At 41.9% G+C, this 13,308-nt stretch overlaps 1 protein-coding gene across 32 annotated transcripts in view; it reads left to right on the top strand.

The window, feature by feature from the left end:
* Nucleotides 1-13,308, top strand: part of NUMA1 (nuclear mitotic apparatus protein 1) — a 77,679-nt gene that overhangs the window by 11,661 nt on the left and 52,710 nt on the right. For 8 of the 32 annotated variants that reach the window (XM_047427026.1, XM_047427004.1, XM_047427010.1 and 5 more), the window contains exon 3: nucleotides 651-777. The exons of 23 other annotated variants lie outside the window; for them this stretch is intronic. The gene's annotated coding sequence lies outside the window, so the exon portion shown is untranslated. Of the gene's footprint in view, nucleotides 1-650; nucleotides 778-6,195; nucleotides 6,294-13,308 lie in introns of all 32 variants that reach the window. One more of the 32 variants, NM_001286561.2, reaches the window with a different exon arrangement.

The raw sequence follows: 13,308 nt of genomic DNA, 5'->3' as shown, positions 1-13,308 counted from the left end.
AAAACAGTAACACCGAATTTTTCTGTTTGTCTCACATGGAGTAGACTTTAAAGGCAGCTCCCAAAGAAGTGTTTTGTTAGAATAAGTAAATAACTTCCTAAGGAGAGTATTTTGATTGCAGTTTTCATTTGATTTAATAAGATTAGAAATGTCTGCTGGAAAACAAGTCACTTTCCTTTATAGTGACTGTGCATATGCTTGCTTATAGGTTGGGGTGACTAGATAATGGAGAAAACTGGCCTTTCTTTTCTTTTTTTTTTCCAGACAGGGTCTCTCTCTGTCACCCAGACTGGAGTGCAATGGCGGGATCTCAGCTCACTGCAACCTCCACCTCTCGGGTTCAAGCGATTCTCCTGCCTCAGCCTCCCTAGTAGCTATGATTACAGGCATGTGCCACCATGCCCAGCTAATTTTTTGTATTTTTAGTAGAGACAGGGTTTCACCATGTTGGTCAGGCTGGTCTTGAACTCCTGACCTCAAGCGATCCACCCGCCTTGGCCGCCCAAAGTGCTAGGATTACAGGCGTGAGCCACCGCGCCCTGCCAAAAACTGGTCTTTCTCCTGGTACTCCTCCCAAATCACAAGTGTGTTGAGGGCTGAAACACAAGTGTGTTGAGGGAACAAGTGTGTTTCAACATGTTGCTCTATAGGAAACTGCAGCTGAGGAGCCATTGCAGTCCCATCTCCAGAAGACCCCCAGAAAGAGTTGGAAGAGTTCTTCAGGCTGTGGCAGCCACTGCCCACCAACACACCCAAATCAATCAAGATGAATCCCAGGTGGTGAGGCTGAAGCAGATGGTTTGGTAGCTCCAGTCTTTTTTTAGGCAGAAATGATGTATTAAATCACTACATTGATTTTTTTGTTGTTGTTAGCAGTTGTGGGTTTGAAAAAAGGTAGGCAGGAAGATGGTGAAGGGGTCAAGCCTAGGGGCTGTTATCTTGAATATATGCAAATTAAGCTGATTATATTGTAGTGCCCTGTAACCTGTTCCTGGAAACAGTGGTCTTGAAAACTCATCAGTTAAATGAGGTGTTAGACAGCCTGGTCAAAAGATTCTGTGACTAAGTTACTGTATAATCATTTGCAATTCTCTTTCTTACTCTAAACATTGTTTTCCTCATTTTTATATTGAAAGAGTTAAGAGATGCTAAAAATTCTAGATCTGAAAATTGGATAAGCCTAAGAAGGTTTGAGGTAGGGAAATGTCTATTCTAAGCTGTTTGACTACTGGACTTGGGGTAGGAGTGGAATTTCTTTTTTACTTCCTAAATTATAGTTACTTTACTCTCTACTTATAGTCACAGCTGGGTGATCAGACATTAAGTAGCTATTTAATGAGAAGCAGGCACTGGAAGCTTGCTCCAGAAAAACAATCACAGGACATGTTGGTCCTGAGAGAAGTCATTCCTTGGTAGGACCTATTGTTTGAAGGAGGTGGGGGTGAATTTCATCAAAATGGACAGTGTGGATATTGTGATTCAGAGGATTGAGAGACTTTGTTTCCTGCTGTTATTAATTTCAAGCCTTTTTTAAAGGGATTCTCCTAGTGATTGGTACAGTGGGATTCATTTAGAGAAAAAGCCTTGTGTACCAGTTGGAAGTTAATGCCCAAGAGCAGGGCCAGTTGCTGGAGGACAAAGTGGCCTAATTAGTTGCTTTTCAATACTTAGATCCTACAGGCTACCCCAAAGATAAAATAGGCTACTTTGTAGCTCAGATCTTCCAGCCTAGTGCCTAGCAAGCTCACTAAGAAGAGGAGGTGACCTGTAGAATCCACACCTCTTAATCTCCCTATTTCTCTTCTTTCCCTCATTGCCCTTTAGTTTTAATTAGGATTGTGTAAACATAGTCATCTTGCCAGTCCTCTTAAAGTGGCAGGCCCTTGGCATTTTCTGCTGGTCACTCATGCTATATGTATAACTTGCAATTAGAGGGACTAGCTTTGACAATTTGCCATCCCTGGCTGTACCACTGAAAGAATTCAGATAAGGGCCAATTGGCTGTCATTTACTCAGGCAGCATATTTAGTACCTACTGTGTGCAAGCAGTGTGCTGGAGTGGAAATGATTTTAAAATGGTTTCTGCCCTCCAGGAGTTTAGTAAAATGAAACAAGTATTACAGCTAGCATCCACCCAGGGAGGATTGTAATTAAGTTTGTAGAGGAACAAGCAATATGGGAGCACATAGAGGAAAGAACAATTGTTCCTGATGGTGGGGGCGATAAGGAGAGTTTGGGAGAAGGCATTTGAGCCAGGTTGTAAAGGAAGAATAGGAGTTCAGTAGGTTTAGGAGACAGGGCATTTAATGGAGGTCACACCATGGGCAAAGGCACACAGCTTGGAAAATGCCTGGCATGTATGGGGAAAATGTGCCTGAGGTAGAGGATATTTTAGGGAATGAACTGAAGATGAGGCTGGGAAGGAAATTTGAGGGTTGGATCTTAGAGAACCTTAAGCGTTATGCTAAGAAATTTGGATTTTATTCTTCATGTAATTAGCTGTTAAGTGTTTTTGATTTACAGACTAACATGACCCAATCTATGTTATTTAGGTCCTGTCTATTCTTTTTTTTTTTTTTTCTTGAGCAGAGTTTCGCTCTTGTTGCCCAGGCTATAGGCGTGATCTCGGCTCACCGCAACCCCCGCCTCCTGGGTTCAAGCGATTCTCCTGCCTCAGCCTCCCGAGTAGCTGGGAATACAGGCATGTGCCACCACGCCCGGCTAATTTTTGTATTTTTAGTAGAGATGGGGTTTCTCCATGTTGGTCAGGCTGGTCTCAAACTCCTGACCTCAGGTAATCCGCCCACCTCGGCCTCCCAAAGTGCTGGGATTACAGGCATGAGCCACCACGCCCGGCCCGGTCTTGTCTATTCTTAAGTGTAAAGTCTTAGAGGTTAGGTTGAGAGAAGGTGGTGGTCCTGGTTCTTACAGTACAGTATTAAGTTTGTCAGGCATCTCATGTTTGAGAACTTGATTCCTCAGTTATATTTACTAAAACAACTCCAAAAGCAAGAAGGCAGGAAGTGGTCAGAGCTGTGTCCCTTTAAACTGAGCTCACTGACCCACCAAAGATGATTTTCTTAGGCATATACATTATGAACAGTCTTCTTGCTAGTGGGTTGCTTACTACTGATAATCCTTTGTGGATAAAATTTCACACAAGGAGCAGGCTTTTCATTATAGGGCAGAAACCAAAAACATTTTTTAAGCCTGATTGAAAAATAGTATATATTCATTCTAGGATATGTGAAAAACGCAGAGAAGTATAAGGAAGAAAACTGAAATCACCCGTAATCCCACTATCTGGAGAAAACTACTGTTCTTATTTTAGCCTATTTTCTTTCAGTATTTTGTGCTTGTATATTTCTGGTTTTGCAATTTCCAGATCATATATTACCTAAAATTTTATATTCTGCTTTTTTCCCCATTTACCATTTTTTCATTATATAAATTTATATATACTCTTCATAAATATTTGTAGTGGCTGCATAATAGTCTATCATATAGGATTTTTATATGCTTTCAGGTTTTTTCAAATAATAATGGAATTTTTTTCAAATCATTTTTGTAATAGATATAACAAATAAGTCCCCAAATAAGTCTTTACCCTAATTCTGCCCTGCAGAAGTAACCATTATTTATTAATAGTTTTCTGTGTATCTTTATATGAACATTATTATGCATAAGTTTTTGTCTACGTTTTTGGTTATTTTCTTATGATACATATCTACAAATAGATTACTAGATTAAACAATATGAAAGTAATTTTTTCCTAATTGTATATGATGGTACTATTTAGAAAACATGAAAAATAATGTGTTAAGGGGGAAAGTAAAAGGCACCCATAATTCCACAACTCAGAAATGAACATTATTTGGTATACTTCCTTACACGTATACATACACATATACAAACTCACAAGTATGTGGGGAGAGGGATAAATATGTATATGATATATCTATCTGTCTATAAATATTTGTATATATAGTTTCAAAAATGGGGCCATACCATAATAGTTTTATCCTGCCTTTTTTTTGTTTGTTTGTTTTGAGACAGGGTCTCACTCTCTCACCCAGGCTTCAGTGCAGTGGTACGATCACAGCTCACTGCAGCCTCAACCTTCTGGGCTCAAGCAATCCTCCTACCTCAGCCTCCCAAATAGCTAGGACTACAGGTGCATGCCACCATGCCCGGCTAATTTTTGTATTTTTTGTAGAGGCAGGGTTTCACCATGTTGCCCAGGCTGGTCTTGAACTCCTGAGCCCAAGCGATTCACCTGCCTTGGCCTCCCAAAGGGCTGGGATTACAGGCATATGCCACTGCACCCAGCCTATATCCTGCTTTTAAAATTCAACATTTCTTGAGTATTTCCCCATGTCATTAAAATTATTTAAAACTTTTTTTTTTTTCCCCAGAGACGGGGCCTTGCTCTGTCACTCAGGCTGGAGTGCAGTGGTACAGTTGCAATCCTAGCTCACTGCAGCCTTGACCTCCTGGGCTCAAGTGATCTTCCCGCTTTAGCTTCCCAAGTAGCTGAACTACAGGCGCATGCCATCATGCCCAGCTATTTTTTTTATTTTTATTTTTTGTAGAAGTGGAGTCTACTATGTTGCCCAGGCTGGTCTTGAACTCCTGGGCTTAAGCAATCATCCCACCTCAGCCTTCCAAAGTGCTGGAATTATAGACGTGAGCCACTGTACCCAGCCAAACTTATTTAAAACATTTTAAGTGACTGCATAAGATTTCATCATATGTATATTCTTGCCATAATTTAAGTTATTGTTAGATATTTAGTTTTCCTTCAGTTTTTCAGAATGATAAATAATTCTATTAATGTCCATATATCTTTGTATTTCAGATTATTTCCTAAACTTTTATTTCTGTGATTGGAATTATTTGATGAAAGAACATGAGATTTTTTTTTTTTTAATTCTTTTTGTTTCTTTTTTTTTTTTTTTTGACACAAGATCTCACTCTGTTGCCCAGGCTAGAGTGCAGTGGTATGATCACAGCTTATTATGGCTTCAGCCTCCCAGGCTCAGACTCAAGTGATCCTCCCACCTTAGCCTCCTGAGTAGCTGGGACTATAGGTGTATGCCACCACACCTGGCTAATTTTTAAATTTTTTGTAGAGACATGGTCTCACTGTGTTGCCCAGGCTGGTCTTGAACTCCTGGGCTCAAGCAATCCTCCTACCTTGGCCTCCCAAAGTGCTGGGATGACAGGCTTCAACCATTGTACCCAGCCAGCTTTTTTTTTTTTTTTTTTTTTTTGAGTTTTGGTAAGATGTATGTAACAAAATTTACTATCTTAGGCTGGGTGCAGTGGCTCACACCCATCATCCTAGCACCAGCACTTTGGGAGGCTGAGGCGAGAAGATTGCTGGTCTTGAACTCCTGACTTCAAGAGATCATCCTGCCTCGGCCTCTCAAAGTGCAGGTGTGAGCCACCATACCCAGCCAAATATGAACATTTTTGTTTCTTTGTTTCTTTGTTTTGAGACAGGGTCTCACTCTGTCACCCAGGCTAGAGTGCAGTGGTATGATCACAGCTCACCACAGCCTCAACCTTTCAGGGTTCAAGTGATCCTCTCACATCAGCCTCCCGAGTAACTGGGACCACAGGTGTGCACCACCATGCCTGGCTAATTTTTTATTTTTTGTAGAGATGAGGTCTCACTATGTTGCCCAGGCTGGTCTTGAACTCCTGGGCTCAAGCAATCCTTTCACCTCAGCCTCCCAAAGTGCTGGGATTTTGGGCATGTGCCACCACCACACCTGGCCCAAATATCAAGGTTTTGTTTTGTTTTTGAGATGGAGTTTCGCTCTTGTTGCCCAGGCTGGAGTGCAATGGCACAATCTCAGCTCACTGCAACCTCCACCTGTTCCAGGTTCAAGTGATTCTCCTGCCTCAGCCTCCCGAGTAGCTAGGATGACAGGCATGTGCCACCACGCCCAGCTAATTTTGTATTTTTTTAAGACGGGTTTCTCCATGTTGGTCAGGCTGGTTTCAAACTCTTGACCTCAGGTGATCCGCCCACCTTGGCCTCCCAAAGTGCTAGGATTATAGGCATTAATTTTGATTTGTATTGCCAAATTCCTATCCAGAGAACCACTTAATACCTGCTTATTTGTGTAAGAAAATGCACTGTTCTTTGTTTGTTTTTTGAGACGAAGTCTCACTCTTGTCCCCCAGTCTGGAGTGCAATGGCACGATCTCGGCTCACTGCAACCTCCACCTCCCAGGTTCAAGCGATTCTCCTGCCTCAGCCTCCCAAGTAGCTGGGATTACAGGTGCGTACCACCACACCCAGCTACTTTTTTGTATTTTAAGTAGAGATGGGGTTTCACCATGTTGGCCAGGCTGGTCTCAAACTCCTGACCTCAGGTGATCTGCTCGCCTTGGCCTCCCAAAGTGCTGGGATTACAGGAGTGAGCCACCGCGCCTGGCCTAAAATGCACTGTTCTTTGATTATTAATTTCTCATTCAAAATTCTAGATTAAGTTAAATTTCGTGGAGAGTATGATAGCTTTTTTTTTTTAACCATTATTTTGTAAAACCAAAATTTGGGAGAGAATGCGAGGAGAAATTAAAAAGATCACTGATATTACCTAAATGACCCTATTACTTAAAATGACCTTTTGAAGTAAGAGGAAATGAAACAAGTTACACTGAGTTCCTCCACTGATGATATGGGGAGGATGACACCTTTCCTGCCTGCCGTATAGGAACTGAATGGCTTAAAATTCTCTGGAGAAATGACTTCTTTCATGGCCAGGATCTTCAGAAGGGTACAATCTAGAGGGGAGAATTGGCCTTCCTTTCCCACAATGGTCAGGGGCCCTAGCTCTCAGCAGTTTGTTCGACTTGCTGGAAATGTGCAGCTGCTTCCTAGCGAATCTGCTAGCAAAAGGGAAGGAGACACCTGTGTTGTGTTGTGTGGTGTGGTGTGATGTGTATGTGTGTTTGTTGGGGGTGTTTAGCAGCAGACATAGTGGAGTTTGCTTTGGTTTTGTATTATTGTGGTGTGTGGGTAGGAACTACATTGTCAAAATCATTGAAGGACAGTAGGAACCAGATGAAATTAAATAAGGGGCCAGGCATGGTGGCTCATGCCTATAATCCCAGCACTTTGGGAGGCAGAGGCAGGATTACTTGAGCCCAGGAGTTTGAGATGAGCTTAGGCAACATGACAAGGCCCTGTCTCTACAAAAAATACAAAAATTAGCCAGGTGTGGTGGTACCTGCCTGTGGTCCCAGCTACTCAGGAGTCTGAGGAAGGAGGATCGCTTGAGCCTGGGAGGTTGAGGCTGTGGTAAACTGTGATTGTACCGCTGCACTCCAGCCTGGGCAACAGAATGAGGCTCTGTCTCAAAAAAAAAAAAAAAAAAAAAAAGAAAAGAAACAAGGAAGACGAAGAGTAGTGCATAGAAAATCTTTTAGTGTTGCAACCCATAAGTAAAGATAAGTCTTTTGACTTCATTTGAGTGTTTTGGGCTCTTTCCTTTGGGATTATATACCAGACCTATACTGCATATAAAGTTATTTGAAAATGAGCCACACACTGTAACATAGCCATGCTCTGGCTGTGGCCAATTAGACCATAACTAATCCCCACTGAGAAGCTTTTCTTTTTTTGTTTTGAGACAGGGTCTTGCTCTATCACCCAGATTTTGGAGTGCCGTGGTGTGATCATAGCTCACTGCAACCTCGAACTCCTTGGTTCAAGGGGTCCTCCTGCCTCAGCCTCCCAAGTAGCTGGAACTACAGGCACACAGCACTGTGCCTGGCTAATTTTTAATTTTTTAAATTTTTTTAGACAGTCTTGCTCTGTCGCCAGGCTGGAGTGCAGTGGCACGATCTCGGCTCACTGCAGCCTCCAACTCCTTGGTTCAAGTGATCTCCTGCCTCAGCCTCCTGAGTAGCTGGGATTACAGGCACACGCCACCACGGCCAGCTAATTTTTGTATTTTTAGTAGAGATGGGGTTTCACCATGTTGGCCAGGACAGTCTCGATTCTCCTGACCTCGTGATCCGCCCGCCTCGGCCTCCCAAAATGCTGGGATTACAGGTGTGGGCTACCGTGCCTAGCCTAATTTTTTTTATTTTTTGTAGAGATGGGGTCTCGCTAAGCCTTCCTAAGTACTGGGATTGCAGGCATGAGCCACTGTGCCCAGACCTGAGCTTTTCTTTAGTTTTTAACTCTTGTTTTTTTTGTGTGTGTGCGTTTTGTTTTTTCGACATGGAGTCTCACTCTGTCTTCCAGGCTGGAATGTGGTGGCACAATGGCAGTTCACCACGGCCTTGGCCTCCCAGGCTCAAGCAGTCCTCCCACCTCAGCCTCCTGAGTATCTGGGATTACAGGTGCATGCCACCACAACTGGCTATTTTTCTAATTTTTGTAGAGATGGAATCTCGCCATGTTGCCCAGGTTGGTCTCGAACTCCTGGGCTCAAACAGCAAGCAGTCCACCACCTTCAGCCTCCCAAAGCACTGGGATTACAGGTGTGAGTCACTGTGCTTAGGCAAGTTATTGTTTCTGTTTAGACCCCAGTAGTAAATATTTTAGGCTTTGCAGACCATGTGGTTGTAACTACTCACCTCTGCCATTGGAGAACAAAAGCAGCCATAGACAATACTTAAATGAATGGGCGTGGCTACGTTTTAGTAAAACCTGATTTACAAAATATGGGCTGCTAACTTATAGGCCATAGTTTGCTGGCTGCTGGTAGGGGGAATTACACTTGACAGAAAGAGGCCTAGTTTTGATGGGAAATTGTTAAAAAAACAGCTTTGATGTCTGGACTTACTGGTTGTGTCACTCTAGCATCTCTGAACCCTCATGTTTAAAATCAAAATGGTAATACCTTTCATAAGAAATAAGAATGAACAGTTGCATATGTGAGGAGATGTTTAACTTTTCTGGAAATAAGATATAAATTAAAACAATAATATATTCTATCTTATATATTGATAAAATATATTGGTAGAAGGGTGTAGATGGGAATTTTTATCCTCTGTTGGTGAGACTATAAACTAGTACACAGTTTTAGATGGTAATTTGGGAATATCTGTTGACATTTAAAATACACAAGCTTTTCAACCCATTAATTCTAATTATTGGTATATATCCTAGAGAAATATTAGCTTGTGTGTAAAATTAGAGATGTGCTGCCAGTGTTATCAATACAGCATTCTTTGACATGCAAAACACTGTGAACAACCTAAATGTCCAGATGTAGCAAAATGGGAAAATAAAGTTGTGGCACATTCTTACATAGGATTTTTTCAAGCTTTTAAAAGTTTAAGGAATTGCCAGCCATGATAGCTCACACCTGTAATCCCAGCACTTTGGGAGGACAAGGTGGGCGGATTGTTTGAGCCTAGGAGTTTGAGAACAGTTTGGGCAACATGGTGAAATCCCATCTCTACAAATAAATTAGCTGGGTATGGTGGTGCGCACCTTTAGTCCCAGCTACCAGGAGGCTGAGGTGGGAGGATCACCTGAGCCCAGGTGGTTGAGGTTGCAGTGAGCCATGATGGTGCCACTGCACTCCAGCCTGGGTGACAGAGTGAGACTTTGTCTCAAAAAAAATTAATTAAAAATGTGAGGAATCTGTTTTTTGCTGGTATGGAAACATGTCAAATAAATTTTTACATGAAAAGGGCAAGTTGCAGAACATATTATATGGTATGATTACAGATATGTAGACCAAACACACATACCTGTATGTGAATATATACCTGTATGTGTACATGCTTAGGAAAAATCCAAAAGGTTGTACAACAGACTTCTAACAGTGGTCACTTCTGAGCTGGGGAGTGTCACTGGCAAATGTGGGTTGAGGCTTAATGAAGAGGGAGTTTTACATTTTACTCTAGATACCTCCGTATTATATTATTTCACAGTGATAATGTATTCCTTCTCCTTTCCAATTGTTTGGAGAGCTCCTGGGCCTGTCTGCACTTGCCAGGATTAGGAGTGTGACAAGGTAGCTAGCTGTGCTCACATCAGTTGAGTTGGAAGCAGCTGCTGAGACCAGAACAGGGAGCACATGTAAGGGGAGGAGGGGGATAGCATGTGCAAGTGACTGAGAGAGGCAGCCAAGACAGGCCATTTCCAATTTACCAACAGTAACTATCACATGTCTTGTCTTGACATTCTCCAAGTTACTTTGCTCTCTGTCATCACACTGGACCCTGAGGATGATTCTCTGAGCAAGGGAGGTAGGGATGATGATGAGACCAGGAGTAATCAAAACATGGGACAACAAGGAAAGTATGTGTGTAGAAATAGTTTTTTTTCTTTAACTTGAAATACGTCAAGGATACTCATTACAGCATTGTTTGAAATGGTAACACTGAAAATAGCCATTCCCTCAATAGAAAAATATGTGAACACGTTATGGATATCCCTTATATGGACTTTTATGTAGCTTTTTAAAAGTATGAGTTAGAATTTTAGTTATTGATGCTTGGGGAGATGTTGATAAATTGTTAGATGAGATAAGTTGCAGAGCAATGTGTAAAGTTTAAACCTAGTTTTCTAAAAACAGAGAACAACAAAACCCTTTCCAATATATTTGTATTTATGTTTTTGGGGGACACAAAAATATGTTACCATTTCTCATCTTGTAGGAGGCCTTGGAGAGGAATGGAAAGGGGCTGGGAGATTACTAATTTTGTCTTTTATCTAACTTTGTATTGCTTCACTGGTTTTGAAGAACAAGGAAAACAAACTTGTATAAGCAAGAAATGAAGTTTCCTAAACATCGTTTCATCTTAATTAATTATTATTATGTTTTTTTTTGAGATGTAGTTTTGCTCTTGTTGCCCAGGCTGTAATGCAGTGGCACAATCTTGGCTCACTGCAACCTCCACCTCCTGGGTTCAAGTGATTCTTCTGCCTCAGCCTCCCTAGTAGCTGGGATTACAGGCGCCTGCTACCACGCCTAGCTATTTTTTTTTTTTTTTAATAGAGACAGGGTTTCACTATGTTGGCCAGGCTGTTCTCAAACTCCTGCCCTCAGGCGATCCACCTGCCTCAGCCTCCCAAAGTGCTGGGATTACAGGCGTGAGCCACCGCACCCAGCTTAGTTTTTTGTTTTTTTGTTTTTTGTTTTTTTTTGTTTTTTTTTGAGACGGTGTCTCGCTCTGTTTCTTAGGCTGGAGTACAGTGGTGCAATCTTGGCTCACTGCAACCTCCACCTCCCGGGTTCAAGCAATTCTCATGCCTCAGCCTCCCAAGTAGCTGGGAATACAGGCGCCTGCCACCATGCCCAACTGATTTTTGTATTTTTAGTAGAGATGGGGTTTCACCATGTTGGCCAGGCTGGTCTGGAACTCCTGACCTCAAGTGATCCACCTGCCTCAGCCTTCCAAAGTGCTGGGATTATAGGCATGAGCCACCTCGCCCAGCTTTAATTGATTTTTAAAGGTTAACTTTTATTATTTTTTAGTGAGTTAATGAAGTAAAGAAATATGAAAGTCAAAATAGAGTTTTAATATGGAATTAATATGTAAATCTTCTTTTGGATTTAAAGGAGGCATCTGGGTAGTGGCAGGAGAACGAGCATTGAAGGAACCAGCTTTGTAATTGTAGTTATCAACTTTCTGATGTGTGAGCTTTAATTTAGTAAGGTTATTTAATAACTTAAATGAAGGCTTTAGTGTCCTTATCTCTAAAACAAAGAGCTTGTACAAGGAGATGTGCTTCACAAATCTGTTATCCCACAATTGAGCTACCTTTTGAGATTAGAATATATTTCCTTTGTTTTAAAATGCTTTCTTTCTTTTTTTTTTTTTTGCTTTTTTAATATTTTAACACTGAAATTGGGGTGTATTTTACAATTGATAGTATCTTCCAATTGTCACTGGCCATTTTTTTTTCACATTTTTGTTATCTCTGAAATTGAGATATCTCATCATTGATGATGATGTAGGATAGTTCCATTTTCAATGCCATTTTTGTTTTCATTAACAAAAATCTCCGCCCTTTCCTGGGCTTCTGTTACTTCCAGTCCTGTCAGATTCTTTCACATCACTAAGACAGTCTGGATTGGGACAATTGGGTGGATATGTTATTTGAGTGTGCAAGAATTTTGTACATCCTTATATAACTGGTAGATGTCCTATATGTAGCTACTGTTTGAGAAATTGAGTAAAAAATGTGACGCATCCAACTTAGTGTTCCTGAGTTTTGATTATCAGTTTGGCTTGCCTTTTTTTTTTTTTTTTTTTTTTTTTAAAGAGATGGGATCTTGGTCAGGCGCGATGGCTCATGCCAGTAATCCCAGCACTTTGGGAGGCTGAGGCAGGCGGATCACAAGGTGAGGAGTTCAAGACCAGCCTGGCCAACATAGTAAAACCCTGTCCCTACTAAAAATACAAAAATTAGCTGGGGGTGGTGGTAGACACCTGGAATCCCAGCTACTTGGCAGGTTGAGGCAGGAGAATCGCTTGAAACTGGAAGGCGGAGGTTGCAATGAGCCAAGATCACACCACTGCACTCTAGCCTGGGCAACAAGAGTAAAACTCCAACTCAAAAAAAAAAAAAGAGAGATGGGATCTTGCTGCGTCACTCAGGCTGGGGTACAGTGGCACAATCGTAGCTCACTGAAGCCTCAAACTCCTGAGCTCAAGTGATCCTCCTGCCTTAGCCTCCTGAGTAGCTGAGACTTCAGGCATGCCACCATACCTGGCTAATTTTTTTTTATTTGTTGTTGTTTCTCTTGAGACAGAGTCTCACTCTGTCACCCAGGCTGGAGTGAACTGGTATGATCTCAGCTCACTGCAGCCTCCACCTTCCAGGTTCAAGCAATTCTTGTGCCTCAGCCTTCTGAGTAGCTGGGATTATAGGCGTGCACCACCACACCTGGCTAATTGTGTGTGTGTGTGTGTGTGTGTGTGTGTGTGTATGTGTATTTTTAGTAGAGATGTGGTTTTACCATGTTGGTCAGGCTGATCTCGAACTCCTGGCCTCAGGTAATCTGTCTGCCTCGGCCTCTCAAAGTGCTAAGATTACAGGTGTAAGCTTCCGCGCCCAGCTGAATTTTTTTTTTTTTTGAGAGATGGGGGTCTTGCTTTGTCACCCAGGCTGGTCTTGAATTCCTGGGCTCAAGTGATCCTCCCATCTCAGCCTCCTGAGCCATTGGGATTACAAGTGCAAGCCTCCTGACCTGGCTTGCCTGGTATTTAATAATTACAGTATGACATATATACAGAAAAGTACACAAAGTTTACAGCTCAAGGACTTTCCACAAGGTGAACACACCTGTGTTACTAGCACCTACATCAAGAAACAGAACA

This window comes from Homo sapiens, chromosome 11, assembly GCF_000001405.40.
Source record: "Homo sapiens chromosome 11, GRCh38.p14 Primary Assembly".
Lineage (NCBI taxonomy): Eukaryota > Metazoa > Chordata > Mammalia > Primates > Hominidae > Homo > Homo sapiens.
Note: the sequence above shows the minus strand (reverse complement) of the source record. Positions and strands in the feature narration are given on the sequence as shown.